The sequence below is a fragment of the Homo sapiens genome, chromosome 7, assembly GCF_000001405.40.
Source record: "Homo sapiens chromosome 7, GRCh38.p14 Primary Assembly".
NCBI classification, from domain to species: domain Eukaryota; kingdom Metazoa; phylum Chordata; class Mammalia; order Primates; family Hominidae; genus Homo; species Homo sapiens.
In genome coordinates, this window is record NC_000007.14 from 21,659,997 (window position 1) to 21,678,614 (window position 18,618).

The 18,618-nt window shown below is 36.4% G+C and overlaps 1 protein-coding gene across 1 annotated transcript in view; it reads left to right on the forward strand.

The window, feature by feature from the left end:
- Positions 1-18,618, forward strand: part of DNAH11 (dynein axonemal heavy chain 11) — a 358,801-nt gene that overhangs the window by 116,958 nt on the left and 223,225 nt on the right. The gene's annotated exons all lie outside the window — the stretch shown is intronic.

Sequence of the window (18,618 nt, forward strand, 5' to 3'; positions counted from 1 at the left end):
GATTTTACACTCTTAGGGGAAGATAAGGTAATTGTTTCTATTTAATAGGCTTGAAGTTACAGGATTCAATTGAAAGAAGTGGCTGGTTTCTTCCTACGGTGCCATCTTTGCAATTCTAGTAACTACCACTTGGATGCTGAAGCTGAGTAGTTAAATTTTTTTTCATGGACATAAATAACTGAGATAATTAAATGCAATTCTGCTATGCCTTTCTTATAAAATAGCCTCTGGTTAGTTAATTTATTGATATTTATGCTTTTATTATGACCATTTTCATTATGCATATAAGTAAGGACATTTAAAAATACTTGGTTAAAATAATATCCTCTTTTAAATTTCAGCTATCCTCAATCACTACTCAAACTTAAATCTTTCTACATGCATATTCCTACTTATTTTACTCTGTTTTTTTTCTAACTCTTATCTCCAACTTGTCTTTTTTTTGTTTCTAGACTGTTTTATTGCTTATAAGGTTAAATGATGTTTTATGGCTATTTATTATTTATATCAGCTTTTTTATTTCTTTGTTATTTTTTGCTGTTAAAGATGATAAAGAAAATACAGTCACAGAAAATGAAAAGAAGGGACATAACATTTAAACAACACCCATAAATTCATTTTCAGGAGAAAAATTATTAACATTTTGGCATGCAAACATCAAAAGTTTTTTCTCTATTTACTATCTTTTGTCTGTCTTTATGAATGTATAGACATGCCTGTTTATAGGTATAAACATGTATAAATCTGTAGCTATTTATATATAAGTGTAATTATTTATGTAGCTATGTATCTGTGTCTATAGATACACATTTTAAAAAATTATTTTACATTCCATACATTTATTTGATTATTTTATATTTTCACTCAATATATTATCTACATATTTTCTTGTCATAAATATACATCAGATCCACACTAAAAGTGACTGAATATTATTTCTTTATATGGATATACCAGAATTTATTTTCTTTCTTCTCCTTTGTTTCGGTTTACTCTGGTTGTCTAACTTCTTATCAGGCACTGCTCTAGGTTCTGTGATTCTAGCAGCGATGTTCCTCCACTCAGGCACTTACATTCTAGTTAATCATTAATAGATCTTAACGTCTCTCCTCAAGAATCTTAGGATCATTTATTCTGTTCTCCACTCCCCATCTTACATGTAGTCATTTAAACCTTATTTTTTTAAAATTATCCATTAATTATGGTGGGAGTGGTATTATTATTTCAGATCTTAATTAGATTTACCAACATATTTACCAATGACTTTGCTCATTTTTTATTTATTTTTCACCTGATTGCTTATTTGTGAATTAAATTCCCTTCTTTCTATAGAATATATTTTAGGAGTTTGTGCAGTGGTGAATTGTTACAGGAAAATTTCTGGTCCCTTGTCTTTATTTTGACTTCCTTTTTGATAATCCAGCTGGGTATAGAATTCTAAGTTGATAGTTTTTTTTAATACCTGAAAAATATTTTTCCATTTATCTTATGGCTTTTATTATTGTTATTGTAAAATCTTATGTCATTCAAATTATTTTTCCATTGTAAGCTATCTGTCTTGTTTTGGGGGATAATTTTAAGATTTCTTTCTTTTTGTGGTTCTGATAAAACTTTTTTCCTTGTAGCATATGATTAAGAAGAAAGAGGAATCCAGGGCCAGATTAAGTAGACTCAAATCTCAGCTTCTACTATTCATTAGCTATGTGACTATGGACAAGCTATTTAGCTACTCTATGCCTTAGTTTTATCATCTGCAAAACACGGACAATGACAGTACTTGCATCGTAGGATCATTAGAAGGATTACTTAGTTAGTATATGGAAAATACTATTTTTTTTTTGAGATGGAGTTTCGCTCCTGTCATCCAGTCTGGAGTGCAATGGCACAATCTCAGCTCACTGCAACCTCTACCTTCCAGGTCAAGCAATTCTCCTGCCACAGCCTCCTGAGTAGCTGGGATTACAGGCACCCTCCATTATGCCCAGCTAATTTTTGTGTTTTTAGTAGAGACAGGGTTTCACCATGTTGGCCAGGCTGGTCTCGAACTCCTGACCTCAAGATGATCCACCTGCCTCGACCTCCCAAAGTGCTGGGATTATAGACATGAGCCACTGTGCCTGGCCAAATGCTATTTTTAAATAGTGTTTTAGTTTATGTGCTATATAAGGGCTGGCTATTGCTGCTGTTGTTAATGCTATGACAATAATGATGATGGTGTCCAGTGTGGTACACAACTTATTTAATACATTTTCCTCAGTAGTTTATAAGAAAAATTTTCTAACATGCAGAAAAGCTGAAAGAATTTTGTAACATGTGTGCCTACCACTTAGATTCTACAATTAATATCTTGTTTTATTTTCTTTATAACATGTCATTTATCAAACCCTATAACCATCCATCAATTCATTTTGTGTCTATGAATCATTTCAAAGGAAGTTGCAGATACCATAATCTTTACCCCTAAATATTCCATTATTTAAAATTTTAAATTTTAATTGAAAGGTAAATACTGTGTATATTTATGTGTACACATGATGTTTTGATATCTGTATGTATGATGGAATGGCTAAATCAGGGTATTTAACATTTGCGTTACCTCACTTTTTTTTGTGGTAAGAATGTTTAAAAGGTACTTTCTTAGCACTTTTCAAAAATATTTTATTTTGTTACTAACTGAGGTCACCATGATGTACAATAGACCTCTTGAACTTATTCCTCCCAACTGAAATTTTGTGTCCTTTGACTAATAGCTCCCCAAACCTTCTACCCCTCAGCCTGTGGTAACTACTATTTTGCTGTTTATGTAAATTGGACTTTTTCATTTAAAATTTTTTTAAATTTTATTTGCAGAAATGTATGAAGTACAAGTGCAATCTTGCTACCTGCGTTGAATTCGTAATGGTGAATTCAGTGCTTTTTAGGGTATCTTTCATCTGAACAATGTATAGTGTGTCCATTAATTTCTCATCATCCACCCCTTACCACCCCCTAATGATTCCCAGTCTCCGTTGTCTGTCATTCCACACTCAATATCCATGTGTACACATTGTTTAGCTCCCACTTATAGGTGAGAACATGTGACATTTGTCTATGTCTCACTTGTTTCACTGATGATAATGACCTCTAGTTCCCTGCGTGTTGCTACAAAAGACATGATTTTATTCTTTTTTATGGTGGAGTAGTAGTCCATTGTATATATATGTCACATTTTCTTTTTCCATTCATCCGTCAGTGGCCACTTAGGTTGATTCCGTAAGTTTGCTATTGTGAATAGTGTTGCAATAAACATAGGGGTAGAGATATCTTTCTGATGCAATGACTTATTTTCCTTTCAGTAGATACTTGGTAATGGGATTGCTGGGTCAAATGCTGGTTCTATTATTAGTTCTTTGAGAAATCTCCATACTGTTTTCCATAGGGGTTGTGCTAATTTATATTCTCACGAAGAATGTATAAGAGTTCTTTTTTTTCCGCATCTTCACCAACATCTGTGTTGTTGTTGGTCTTTTTAATAGCCATTCTGACTGCTATAGTATCTCACTGTGGTTTTAATTTGCATTTCCCTGATGATTAGTGATGTTGAGCATTTTTTCAGATGTCCTTTGGTTTTTGTATAACTTCTTTTGAAAAATGTTTATTCATGGAGTTTGACATTTTTATATTCCACATACAAGTGAGATCATACAGTATTTGTTTTTCTATGCCTGGCTTATTTCAATTCACATAATGTCCTCCTGATTGTCATAAATGACAGGATTTCCTTTTTTTTTTTTTAAAGACACAATAGTATTTCATTGTGTATATTTGCCATATTTGCTTTATTCGTCCATTGATGGAGACCTAGGTTGATTCCATAGCTTAGTGATTCTTCATAATGCTGAATAATGCTGAAGAGATACAGGTGTCTCTTCAACGTACTGATTTCAGTTCTCTGGTATATATCTCCATTAGTCAGATTGCTGGATCATATGGTAATTCTATTTTTAATTTTTTGAGGAAACTTTATGCTATTTTTCATAATGGCTGCACTAACTTACATTCCCACCAACAGTGTACAAGGATTCCCTTTTTAAGCACTTCAATTTACATACCCAATTCATCAGTTTAATTTCAGTTATTATATCTCAATTTCCCAAAGTTTTTTTTTTTTTTTGGCTTTTTTAAAAATTTTATGGTCACCTGTCTTTTCATTGTGGTTTCTATTCTTTAATCTTATTAATTATTTTAAAGAGATGTTTAATAGTTTTACTTGGATTGTTCTACTAGCTCTAGTTCTGAGGCTGGATCTCCTGTTAAATTTGATTTGTTTTTAAATGTTCATTTTTAAAGGTTATCTTTATGTCTGGTTTTTTTTCTGTAGGAATTGTCTTCCCTAAATTGAGCAAATGTCTCTACAGTGTATCTCCCCTCGCCCCCGCCCCCGCAATTCTTTCAGGTTTCTATAGATCTTCTAAGTTCTGGGTGATGATTGTGATTATGATTGAGACAGTCTTGCTCTTTTTCCTGGGCTGGAGTTCAGTGAAGAAATCATGGCTCACTGCAGCCTCAAACTCCTGGGCTCAAGCAAACCTCCCGCCTCATGTTCCTGAGTAGCTAGGACCACAGGTGCATACTACCACAGCTGACTAATTTTTGTTTTTTTCTTATGGAGAGGTGGTCTAACTATGTTGAGCAGGCTGGTTTTGAACTCCAGGCTTGAAGCAATCCTCCCACTCCAGTCTCTCAAAGTGCTGGAATTACAGGTGTGAGCCACTGCCTCGGCCAGTTGTAGATTAATTTTGCAATTACTCAGTTTAGGATTTTCTGATCACATTAGCAGGGTTAATTTGGATGCTTCAGTATCTCAGCTTTATGTTCAACATCTCAGTCCCAACTTTCTGCCTTGCTTGAGGGAGTATGAGAGGCACAACTGAAATGGGAACATTTCTGTCCCCATGTGGCAATTTAAACCTCAGCTCCAGATGTTTGGCTCTCTGTCCAAATTCTTTGAGCTGCCATGGCATTCGCTTATCGACCTCATCATACCTCTCTGCTTTGAGGCTCATTCTTGTTGTCAGGAAGGGATCAGTCTCCTCTCTTTCTTTATCTCTCTCTCTCTCTCTCACTCTCTCTTCCCCTTCCTCCCTCTCAGTGCCTTTCACTCCCTCTCTCTCACTCCGCTATTGACCTCTCCCCCTTTCTACCTTTCTCATGTTTGGCTATGTACTTTGTATTTAGATATGTTCTGTTTTATTTCATATTTCTGTGTTAATAAAGAAATTGTCCATGTTCATTTAATATATTGCAAGACCACCTATTATTATGATGATTATTGTTGGTAATACTGGCTAGTTGGGTTGCTTTTCCATTTTTGGTTATCGTTAATAATACTGCAAGGAACAGCCTTGTATAGACATGTTACATGTATTTTTATTTATTCAGGATAAATTTCCAGATGTAAAATTGCTAGATCAAAGCCTTTGCAAGATAGTGCCAAATTTACCTTCCCAATATCAGTGTATAAGAAGTGTCCACTCCTTCCCCTGTCAACAACATTGGGCTGGTTCTTTTTTTTGTTCTCATTCTTATAAAATTATTCATATCCCAGTAGCTTTGGCTGGTTCAACTAATTAATGGAATTTAGTGTTCTTCTCTTAAAATCTTTTAAAAGTTTTCCACTTTGTTCTAGAGTTAAATAGTGCTTCTTTTTTCATGTTGGATGAGAAATAGAGAAAAGGGATGATTTGTGAAGAAAGCATTTATCCACATAATTATAAAACACTTCTAGCATGAATTGAAATGTTTGACAGACCAGACAAGCAGATGCTTTTACTACAGTGTTTCAGTTTTGTGACTGGCACTAACATGTATATTACAGAAGCTAACATTTGAATTCTGCTAAGCTGTGGTTTGGGTCATGAGAAATGTTTGCATCTAAGTTGAAACCTTTTTAGTTTTCTTCCTTTCAAAATGGATGTAACCATCTGCTGGAGTGTGCTTTTAATTAAAATTATTCTTACTAATACTGTAAGCAGTTTTTTAAATGAGCTTTAGTCATTTAAAATAGCTTAATTTTAAAACTGGTATCAGAGTTGTGTATAATTGATGATTATAAGTAATTCCTTTCAGTAATTCCTTTCCTTGGTTATCCCAAATTGTAGTGAGATAAATAAACCAAGGTAATAATTTTAAACTCTATTTCCCCCTTGGATCTATGGTGATTGCATATTAGTATTGGGATTAAAGGCAAAAATACTGCATTTTGAATATATATCGCTGCCTTGTCAGAGTCTTTGAAAAAAGTGGCAAGTATGATAAATTTAATTTCCCAGATTTGAAGGTTCCTTGGTGAAAGTGTTTTGTTTTGGAGGCTTGGGATATGGTAGGAAAGTTTCTCCACTCCTCTTTTATTATTGAGCTGTGTGAAAATCATCAAAAGAGAGATAGAAGTGTTTTAAACTTTAAAAAATTAATATCTGTAGTGTGCAGGGACATTACCCAGAGACTTTTGTTAAGAACTCATGATAAATAATATAAAACTTTTCTCATTAACCATCCTCTCCCTCTCAACAAAGACTCAGAAATACCAGTATACATATAAGAAAGAGACCCTCATTTTGCTGCTGAAAGCCAATTTTTGGCCTCACTTTTAGTTGCTAAGGAAGTCTTTTAAAAAATTTGGATACAATATTGGTAGCATTCTTATCTTGTTTCAGCCCTATTACCTGAATAGAGAAGCCTGTCAAGCCTGGAGCTACCAAGTGTATATTGGACACAAGTATTTTTTTTTTTTGGCCTTTATATAACAATGTGATCTGATAGCCTTATACTTTATAATCTAGCAGTAACTCACAAGATCATGAGTAGAGCACATACTCTCTACCTCCCCTCTCATCAAAGGTTACATTGAATGACAGGTAAGGTATATGAAAAAAAACATAGTGTTCCTAGAAATACAGGAACAGATGATTTGAGGAATGCTAGGAACACATGAAATTGAATTGATAGCTGACTAAGAACAGAGAAAATCAGTCCAAACCTATAAAAAGAGGAAGCTATTGCAATGGTAAGCCAATTTTCACCCAGCAAAATTTCAGATAAATTATGAACTCACCTTAAGCAAATATAAAAAATGTGGAGTTTATGGTTAGTGATAAGGATTAAATCTAGAAGAAATGGATAACTGTAGCAGCTTCTCTCCCCTGTATATCCCAAGAGGCTATTAGTGGAGGTGTTTGTCCCCAGTACAAAGCCCTGAGAAATGCTTTGCAAGCAAAGTGAGCCATTTATAGAGGGCTTCTGTCATAAATATGTCTTGACTGAAGAGCAGGAGTTGGCCTACTTTTTCTGGGAAGAATCAGGTAGTAATTATTTTGTCTTTGTGGGCCATATAGTCTCTTCTGCATGCACGCATCTCTATTGTAGTGGTTGCAAAGAAGCAATTCATAATTTGTAAGTGAATAGTTGGGTTGTAATAAAATGGTGTTTATAAAAACAGGTGGTGGGCCAAATTTGGTTCATGGCCTATAGTTTACCACCTCTGCTTTAGAGAAAGAAGCAGAACAAATCCTGAAGTAACTGAAGATCCCCACAATGAGAGATGGAGGTAAGAGAAAAAAGGATTTGTCACCCATATATGCCATTGGATTTCAATATGATCCATTAACATGAGAGTTGGTTCTTTGAACAGACCAATAATACTGACAAATTTTGCAGTTTAGAGAAGGAATCAAAAACATACAATAAAGGGATAGGGAAAAAACATAATCCCTGTAAGAGATTTTAAAATGACTGTGTACGTATGTGATTTTTTTTGCTAATAATTAAGTCAAAATCTAAAATAAATGGATGTTTCTCTATGAATACTTTTTCTAGAATTGAATCAAAATAATTTAGAAAACTCAAGTAGACCATTAACGATGGAAATAATTGAAATTGTAATCATGGTAGTCAAAGATGGGCACTCCTTCCTAAATAGGACCCTGTTTCAATGATTTTATCATGGGAAAGGTAAACACCATGTTACATCAACTGTTCTGGAATATAAACAGAGATGTAAGGATTTTCCACTCTTTCTATAAAGTTCTAATATACTTGATAGAAAAACCACACAAAGATAAAATACAAAAGAAAATTCTTTCAGCAAATCTCCTAAGTTAGCATATCTTCTTTTTTGTGTGGATTTTTTACTTAACACTGGGAGCCAGTCCTTATGGGTCTTACATTTATATACATCTTATGAACAGAGGTAATGACTGCCCTTTGTTCCAGATATATTTTTATAGTGAACATTCTTGAAAATAGAGATAGTATCTCTCTCCAGAGCAAAGGGCATGTTGACTTATTTTTTAGTATAATAAAAATAATATCTCTTCCTAGGGCAAATGTCAGACATGCTGTCTTATAAAAGATTTGCACTCCCTAAATCCAGAATGTTTCTCTTGTAACACAGCTCATTGCATGTGCTAGCCCTCTTTGAATATCCTTTGAAAGTTTGTACTCAGTGCTAATGTTCTAATATTACTCATGGTATTGCTGTAATAAACTGTCCTTTATCTCTGACCTGTGAGTCTCATGTCTTCTGCCAGCATCCATGACTTGTTAGCCAGCAAGTAGGATAAAATTTCAGACCCCTCACATTTTTCAACGAACATATTTTTGAGATTCATCTCTGTCGTTGCATGTATTTGCTGTTCATTATTTGTTATTGCTTACTAATAATACATTGTATACGTGTACCACAATTTTTCTACTCATCTTGTTACTTGACATTTGGGTTTCCAGTTTGAGACTATTATTTCTAAGGCTGCTTTAAACATTACTGGATTAAGTCTTTTTGTGAACATATATTTTCATTTCTCCTGGGTAGAAGCCTAAAAGTGAAATTGCTGGATCACAGAGAAAGTGTACGTTTAACCATTTAAGAAACAGTCAAACAGTTCTCTATTGTTAATACTACCATGGACAATGTAACCGAATTTCAGTTGCTTTATATACTCGCTCATATTTGTATTGTCAGTCTTATAATTGCAGCCATTTCAGTGGATATAAAATAGTATATCATTGTGATTTTAACTGGCATTTTTCTAATGTCTAAAGATGTTGAGCAACTTCTTATGGGGTAATTAGCATTCGTACATCCTCTATTGTGAAGTATCTATTAAAATCTTTTGATCTTTTGCTCCATTTTCAAACAGTTGGGTGATTTGCCTTATATATTTTTAAGACAGGGTCTCACTCTGTCAACCAGGCTGGAGTGCAGTGGCACAATCTGCAGCCTCAAACTCCTGGGCTCGAGCGATTCTCCTGCCTCAGCCTCTTTTGTAGCAAGGACTAGAGGCAAGCACCACCGTGCTCAGTTTAAACATTTTAAAAATTCTTTTTGTAGGTCTTGCTATGTTTCCCAGGTTCTCTTGAGCTCCTGACCTCAAATGATCCTCCTGCCTCGGCCTCCCAAAGTGTTGGGATTAAAGGTGTGAGCCACTGAGCCTGGTCTTTTTTAATTGTTGATTGTAGGATTTCTTTATTTATTTGGGATACAAGTTTTTTGTTCGAAAATGGACTACTCATTTTCTTAATGGCATATTTTATCAGAAAGTTATAATTTTGATGCAGTGTAGTGTATCACATTTTTTTTTCATGGCTAGTGCTTTTTGTGTCTTTTTAAAAATGTTTTTCTTTTTGTGTGTGTGTGTGTGTGTGTATGAGAGATAGATGTTATTGCCTGTCCAAAAGTCATGAAAATATATTTCTGTTTCTCTCAAGGTGCTTCATGGTTCTGGGTTTTTCCCATTAGGTCTGCAATCCATACCTCTTTCCTTTCTCTATTGAATTAATGTGGTACCTTGGTTGAAAGTCAACTGACTATATACGTATGTGGGTCTATTTTCAGATTCTCTTGTTTCATTGATCTATTTTTCTGCCTTCATGCCAAATCCATCTTTCTTAATTACCATAGCTTTGTAGTAATCCTTAAAGTCATTTTATATATACCTTCCAACTTTGTTCATTATTTTCCCCAAGATTGTTTTGACTGTTTGAAGTTCTTTTTTATACAACTCTTACATCACATTGTTTATTTGTACAAACCTAATTAATTTTAGCCTAATTAAATTGCGACTGGGGCAGCCTCTAAATATAAATTTTGGAAGAATGAACATCTCAATAATTATGGTTCTTATAACCCAAGAACATGGTGTATCTCTTTATATGGGTTTTCTCTAATTTCTCTCAGCAATGTTTTCTGTAGTTTTCAATGTAGAAGCCTTGCACATTTCTCATTAGATTTATTTTTAGATGGTTGATGTGTTTTTTATTCTATTTTATATAATAATTTTTAAATTTCATTTCCCAGTGTTTTTGGCTGGTACATAGAAATTTATTGATTTTTAAATATTCACCTTTTATCTTGGGGCTTTGCTAAATTTACTTAGTACATTTAGTAGTTTTTAAATAAATATATACTCTACAGGGCTTCCTGTGTACAGAAATACATCATCTGTAAGTAATGACAGTTTTCTTCTCTTCCATTCTTTTTCTTTTTGTTCTTTATTTCCTTTTTTTGAGCTATTGAATTGGTTGGGCCTCCAGCACAGTGTTGAATAGAGGTAGTGAGACATCCTTGTCCATTTACATTCTTTGGTAAGAGTAATGTTTCTCCAGTAAATATAATGTTAGTTGAATGTTTCTTGGAGATGCCCCTTATCAGATAGAGGAAAATCCTTTCCATTACCACATGCAGAGAGTTTGCATCTTAAATCAGCATTGAGCTTTCTCCAATCTCATGAGATGACCATGCCATTCTGTTATTGTGGTGAATTTTCGAAAGTTACGCCAACTTTGCATTCCTGAATAATAAACAATTGGTTATGAATTATCCTTTAAGTGTGTACGTGTGTGTGTGTGTGTGTGTGTGTGTATTTTTGGCTGGATTCTATTTGCTATTATTTTGTTAACAAATTCTACATTTATGTTTATCAGGTACATTTGTCTGTAATTTTCTTTTTCTATGATATCTTTGCCAGATTTTGAAATCAGGGTATACTCCTTAGAAGGAGTTGGAAAGTGATCCATTTATATCTATTTTGTGAAAGAGCTTATGTTAGACATCACTGGTGATGCATCTGGGCTTGAAGTTTTCTTTATAGAACATTTTTTATTGTAAATTGATTTCTTTTATACATATGCAGCTGTTTAGTTTTTTGGGCTCTTCCTTTCTTGTGTCAGTTTTGGAAGTTTGTATTTTTCAAGATATTTGCCCATTTTAAGTAATTCAGCATGTGGCAAATTACAAACCTCTGGCCAAATCTGGCCCAGTGTCTATTGTCTGTGGCTATTTTCACATCACGATGGCAGAGTGGAGTGGCTGTGACAGAGACTGCATGGCCTACAAATCCAAAAATATTTACTATCTGTTCCTTTTCAGGAAAAGGGCCACACTTGGCCTATGCTTTTCAATTTACTGATGTAAGTTGGTCATGCTATTTCAGTATTATCCTCAGAACATCTGGAAGATCTGCCCAGATGTCCTACTTTCATTTCTGGGGTTCGTAATTTATTTTTTTTCTCTTTTTTTTCTTAATTGGGTTTTCTAGGTGTTTATCAATTTTATTTCTGTTTTCAAAGAACTAATCTTTGACGTTATTGGTTTTCTCTATAGCTTGTTTTATATTTCACTTATCTCTGCCCTTATTTTGATTATTTCCTTTCTTCTACTTACTTTGAGCTTAATTTGTTCCTCTTTTTCAAGTTTCTTACAGTGGGCGTTTATTGACTTTATACCTTTTTCTTTTCTAATATAAGCATTTAAAGGAACTTTTATAACTTAAAAAATATCTACCAGAAACCTGCAGAGAAAATCATACTTAATGGTGAAACATTAGAATCATTTCCATTAGTGTCAAGAATCAGGTAATGATGCTCACTATATCTGACATTCGTTGCTCAATATTGCACTGGTGGTTTTAGCAGTAGGATTAAAGGAGAAGTAGGAAGTGAACACTGAAAAGAGGACAACAAACTGAGATTCAACAACCCATGTTCTGATAGTTTTAAGAGCATGGGACTTGGTCTCTTTGTCATTTCCTTTGCTCTGGCTGGCGGAAATGAAAATTCATTGTTTCTGATATTGCTGAAGGTGAAACTGGTGGGTTTCAAGATGAGAGGTCCTCGTTGCTGTTATGAAACAAGAGGAACTTCAGTATTATGTCTTGTTAGAAAGGGATCCAGGATCCTGGTAGCTGATCTCCAAGGTGCTATAGCAATTACATTGTAATGTTCACTTTGATCTGCTAAGCTGAGGACTTCTAGCTCCAGACTACTTTTCTAAGAGAGTGTGTCTCGCTCTATTGTCCAGGCTAGAGTGCAGTAACGTGATCATAGCTCACTGCAGCCTCAAACTTACGGGCTCAAACAGTCCTCCTGCCTCAGCCTCCCAAGTAGGTAGGACTACAGAGGCTTAACACCATGTCTGGCTAAGTTTTACATTTTTTTGTAGAGATGGGGTCTTGCTGTGTTGCCTAGGCTGGTCTCAAACTCCTGGCCTCAGGCCATTCTCGCTCCTTGGCCTCCAGAAGCACTGGGGTTACAGGCATGAGCCACCAAATCTGACCTCCAGATCTCAACTTTTCTGCAGAGTGGCCTCTTCCAGCTTCTTTGCCACCATGGCTTGGGTGTCCCCATATTGGGAGATATGCCATGGCTGATGCTGGTAAAACTGCAATGCTTCTGCTGCAAGGAAGATTTTTTTTCTTTGTTGCCTTATTTAAACCTATAGTATTTAGGGACACACTCTTTAAATTCACGGTATGGCCTCTTTCTACCATGCTGCCATGGGAGCCAGGACAGGAAAAAATGGGGGACCAGCCACCACTATGTATCAGGAACCACTGCTTCTCTCTGACCTTAAGTCTGTTACTTTCTAGGTCTGACATTGTCCTACATGGTGAACCCACTGTCATCCTACCAAGCTCGCTGGCCCTCTTTGGGAACACTGTAGTCCTTTAGATATGTGTATCCTATACACCCCAATGGTGGTCAAGATTGTGTCTTTTCCTTTTTCTTTTTTTCACGGTGTGTGACATAGAAGGTGTAAGATCTTGTCTTTTTGTTAGGAAGCATTTCTATGTTTATATAAATAAGAGAATTCATAAGTGGGGTATACTGAGTTATCTCTCTCTACTTACCACAATCATTGGAGGCCAGCTCTTGCCTGGTCTGATACCCTGTTATCCACATAAGAAGGTTTAGTATTTGTAAAATATACAGTGAGATCTTAGAATTGTGTACTAGACCCTGGCTCCACCGTTTATAACTGTGTGATCTCAGGCAGGTAATCTTATATTCTCATATGTAAAACTGGAATACTAATCGTGCCTACTTCGTAGAGTTGTGATGATTAAATTAGAAAACACATACACAGTACACATGTACCCATACAATGCCTGTCAGTCAGTGCTTTTATTATCTGCCGACATCATCAAAGAGGAACTAGAGCAATGGCCATCAGGCTGATGTCCCTCCCCCCACAGCATCCTCCAGCTAGGAGGGAAGGGTGATCTCCACTGCCCAGAGCATTTCTCCATCTCTGCTCTGGGTCCCTTCTGCTCTGACCTCTCTCAAGGCTGCCCTGACTTTCTTTCCTCCTGTTTCTTCGGTTTCTCGCTCTTGCTCATTCCCATCAGTAATTAAACATGCCCAACTCCCTCATTACTCAAAACAAAATAATAACCAAAAATTGTCCACTCATGCCACATCTTTTGTTTCCTGCCTTATCTTTGTTTTATTATAATCAAGCTTGCTGACCTATACTTGCTCTTTCCTTTTTCTCATCACCACAACCTATTTCTACCACTTGATTGAGTCTATTTCTGTTTTCTTTAACTTAGAAAATACTTCCTACTTCTTCACATACTCTGTTCCTTTATATTCATGTTTTTTTTTTGAATTCTAGTTTTCTACCTAGAAAACTTGGGCTGCTGTTTACTTCACCTGGCTGGTCTTCCTCCTGCTCCTTAAATATTCCTGTTCCTTATGGCTCTATTCTGTTTTGTTTTGTGTGTGTGTGTGTGTGTGTGTGTGTGTGTGTGAGTTTTGTTTTGTTTTTCATGGAGTTTCACCCTGTCGCCCAGGCTGGAATGCAGTGGCACTATCTCGGCTCACTGCAACCTCTGCCTCCTGGGTTCAAGCAATTCTTCTGCCTCAGCCTCCCAAGTACCTGGAGTTATAGGCGTGATCATGCCCAGCTAATTTTTGTATTTTTAGTACAGACGAGGCTTCACCATCTTGGCCAGACTGGTCTTGAACTCCTGATCTCAGGTGATCCACCCACCCTGGCCTCCCAAAGTTCTGGGATTACAGATGTGAGCCACTGCGCCTGGTCTGTTTTTGTGTTTTGTTTTGTTTGAAACAGGGTCTCGCTCTGTCACCCAGGCTGGAGTGCAGTGGTGTGATCTTGGCTCACTGCAACTTCTGCCTCCCAGCTTCAAACAATTCCCATGCCTCAGCCTCCCAAGTAACTGGGGTTACAAGTGTGCACCACCATGCCTGGCTAATGTTTTTGTAGTTTTAGTAGATACAGGGTTTCGCCATGTTGACCAGGCCTGTAACTCCTAGCCTCAAGTGATCCATCTGCCTCGGCCTGCCACGATCTTTCTTTTTCCTTCCCTTTTCTTTTCCTCTTTTCTTTTTTCACACATCCCTGACTGATTTCATCCACTTTTATGGCTGCTCAGTTTCCTTTGCTCCAGTCTACATCTCTCTCCTGAAGCACAGCCAGAAGCAGATAGGGAATTTTCACTGAAGTCTCACACGCACACCCAATCTAAAAGATCCAGTGCACATTAGCTCTTCTCAAACTTGCCTCCCAACGTGCCCAACTGCAGAAAAAAAAAAGAACAAAAAACCAACATACTTCACTAGTTGCTCACACTAGAAGCCCGCTTGACTCTTCTTTTCCTCAATAGCCAATCAACCACCAATTCTGTCACTGTTCTGAAGATCCCTATTCTCACTGCCTTCTCCAACTGCTTTGATAATGTCCTAGACCAAGCCACTCTCTTTCATCTAAATGACTGTAGCATCCTCCTCACAGGTCTTTTCTTCCAGTCTTACCTTCCTCCAATTCATTCTTTACAGTATAGCCAGAGAAATAATTTAATAACACAAATCTCATTATCACCCCACTTTCTAGACCTTTCAGCACCATCTCATTGTCCTAACTGAGCTGGGCAAGCCCTGCATGCTTGGGCACTTGCCTTCCTCTGCAGCATCCTTACACACCCCTCCTTCCTATGCCGCCCACTCCTGCCATGGGTGACCTCTTTCAGTTTTTCCACAGAGCCACCCGATCCATTCAGGGCCTTTACACAGGCTGCTTCCTGTGGCATAACGACTGCCTCCCTGCTGGCCAACCCCTAAATTCTTGTCAACCTAAATCCTGCTCATTCTTTAGGTCTTAGTATACATTCCTCTAAAGTGCCTTTCTAATCCCTATATCAGGCAAGGCCTTATTTCTGTGTGCTGTCAGCATACTTTCTACTTGCCCTAGCAAAACAATTTTAATTATTTATCTGCATTCCTTCTTGTCCTGTAAGGTCTGGAAACAAGAACCACATTTGTCATCTTGTATGAGTGAGTGAATGAGAGAACAAAAAACTGTTGTTTTGGTGTGTATTGTTGCTGTCGTTCGTTTGTTCATTTCTTCATCAGTTCCTACAGCGAGTGTTGATTTGGACACATGCTTTATGCTGGCCGCTATGCTAAGCATGAGAACATAACACAGAATGAGACAGATGTGGGCCTTGCTCCTTTAGAGTTTAGGGTGGAGGAGACAAAGAAATACATGATTGATAGGATACTCATAAGTTCCATAAAGATAATAAAATAGAAACATTTAGAATAAATAGATAGGGGGTAATAGTAAATAGAATGGCCAGGGAAGGCCAATTTGAGGAGGTAAATTTGAAGTACAGCTTTGAATAATGAGAGGAAGCCAGTCATACAAGGATTAGAGGGAAGATGACTCCCGGAACATGAAGTGGTTGCTGTGGCCTTAAAACAGCTGTGATAGGAGAACAGAGAGAAGGCCAGCATGGTTAGTGAAGTGAGATAGGAAAGGAGTGGTGTGAGGTCATGGAAGACTTTGTGCTCCAGGAACAAAAGTTTGGATTTTACTCTAAGTTGGGCTTATTTCTAGTTCAAGATACATGCTGTACTTGCACTCTAATGAAGCCAAGATGTCCCAGGAAAATAGCCACTTGAGTTTCAAAGGGGCGTAGGTAGACTTGAGCCAAGACACCCTTGATCCAGTAGAAAATCATGTAACACTGTTGCGATCAGTGGCAAGAATATGTACTGATTACATGATAGGATATATTTTCTTAAAGCTGCTAAGGAGTGTTTTCTATGTCACAGACCATAAACTTATATACAAGTACAGTACTGACCATAATGATTGCTATCTCTTGCCACTGCCCAAATAATAGACATTTTATAACTACATTATATAACTGTGGGTACAGAATTTTATTACTTACAAAAGAGTATCATCAGAGAAGGTTTAATCTTGATACACAGTATAAGATCCCCAGCATATGATGCTGTGCAGATTATGTTGACAAGCTGTGTTTTTAATCATCTTCCATTTGACTGCACTTCTGTGAAAAATGAATCAATAATGCAGAAATCACAGGTTGTTGGGAGGCTCAGGCAAGACAATGCGTGTGAATGCACTTACAATTATACATGTTCTTATAAGGCATATGATATTATTACTGTTGTTACAATCAACTTTATTTTAAACCAAATACTGGTAGTGGTGTAAGATTGGATACTGCAAAGACCGGATATCTTGACCCAGATGAGAAAATATCCAAGGCCTAAATATCTCTTTTCTCACTAAAGTGTATATTAATTTTCCCTAGAAACTTGCATAGGTATGGGTTGTTATTGTACATTAATTCATCTGTTCAGCATACACCCATTGAGCACCCACACTCTGACAGTTCTTCAGTGGCTCTGGGAAAAGGCATCGAATAAGATGGATGCTGTCGTTGCCTTTGTGGAACATAAAATCTAGGGGATGATGAGCAGTGAACATATTAGACATAAAACAATAATCACATCTGCTTTTTAAACATTTAACTACTTTTTAAAGATGCAATGTATTAAAAGTACAGGTGTATCTCATTTTACTGTGATTCACTTTACTGTGCTTTGCAGATACTGCCTTTTTTTTTTTTTTTTTTTAAACAAATTAAAGATCTGTGGCAACCCTATCTATGCTGGGCATTGACATCATCATTCAAACAACATGAGCTTGCTTTGTGTCTTTTTGTCACATTTTCATAATTCTTGGAATATTTAATTTTTTTATTATTGTATCTATCATAGTGATCTGTGATCAGTAATCTTTTTTTATTTTTTGAGACAGAATCTCACTCTGTCACCCAGGCTGGAGTGCAGTGGTGTGATCTCAGCTCACTGCAGCCTATACATCTCAGAGTCAAGCGATTCTCCTGCCTCAGCCTCCCGTGTAGCTGGGATTACAGGTACACGTCACTATGCCTGGCTGATATTTTTTGTATTTTTAGTAGAGATGGGGTTTCACCCCATTGGCCAGGCTGGTCTTTAACTCCTGACCTCAAGTGATCCACCTGCCTGGGCCTCCCAAAGTGCTGAGATTACAGGCATGAGCCATCACGGCCAGCCTGTGATCAGTGATCTTTGATGTCACTCTTGTAGTAGGTTAAGGTACATCATTGCCAACAAGATCTTTTGACTTTTTTATTATAGCCAGTGTAATGGGTGTGAGGTGATAGCTCATTGTGGTTTTGATTTCTCTAATGATTAGTGATTTTGAGCATCTTTTCATATACTAGTTAGACATTTGTATGTTTTCTTTGGGAAAATGTCTATTCTGGTCCTTTGCCCATTGCTAATCAGCCTATTTGTTGCCGTTGAGTTGTATGAGTTCCTTATATATTTTAGATATTAATTCCTTATCAGATATATTGTTTGTAAATATTTTCTTCCATTCCATAGGCTACCTTTTTATTTTGTTGATTTTTTTCTGTTGATGTACAGAAACTTTTTAGTTTGATATAGTTCACTTGTTTATTTTTTATTTTGTTGTCTATGTTTTTGGTGTCAAGTCCAAAAAATCATTGTCAAGACCAAAGTCATGAAGCTTTTCCCACTTTTTTTTTTTTAAGGAATTTTACAGTTTCAGGTCTTATCTTTAAGTCTTTGATTCATTTTGAGTTTTTTTTGTGTGTGTATAGTGTAAGGGTCCAATTTCGTTCTTTTGCATGTGATGTCCAGTTTTTTCCAACACCATTAATGTAAGAGTCTTCTTTCTTCACTGTTTTTGGTGCCTATGCTGAAAATCAGTTGAAAAATTTATTTTTTAACTCTCTATTCTGTTCCACTGGTCTATGTGCCTTTTTGTATGCCAGTACCACACTGTTTTGATTACTATAGCTTTGTAATATAATTTGAAATCAAGAGATGTGATGCCTCCAGCTTTGTTTTTCTTGCTTAAGATTGCTTTGGCTATTCAGGGTCCTTGGTGATTCCATACAAATTTTAAGATTGTTTTTTCTACATCTGCAAAAAAAAAAATGGCATCAAAATCTTGAT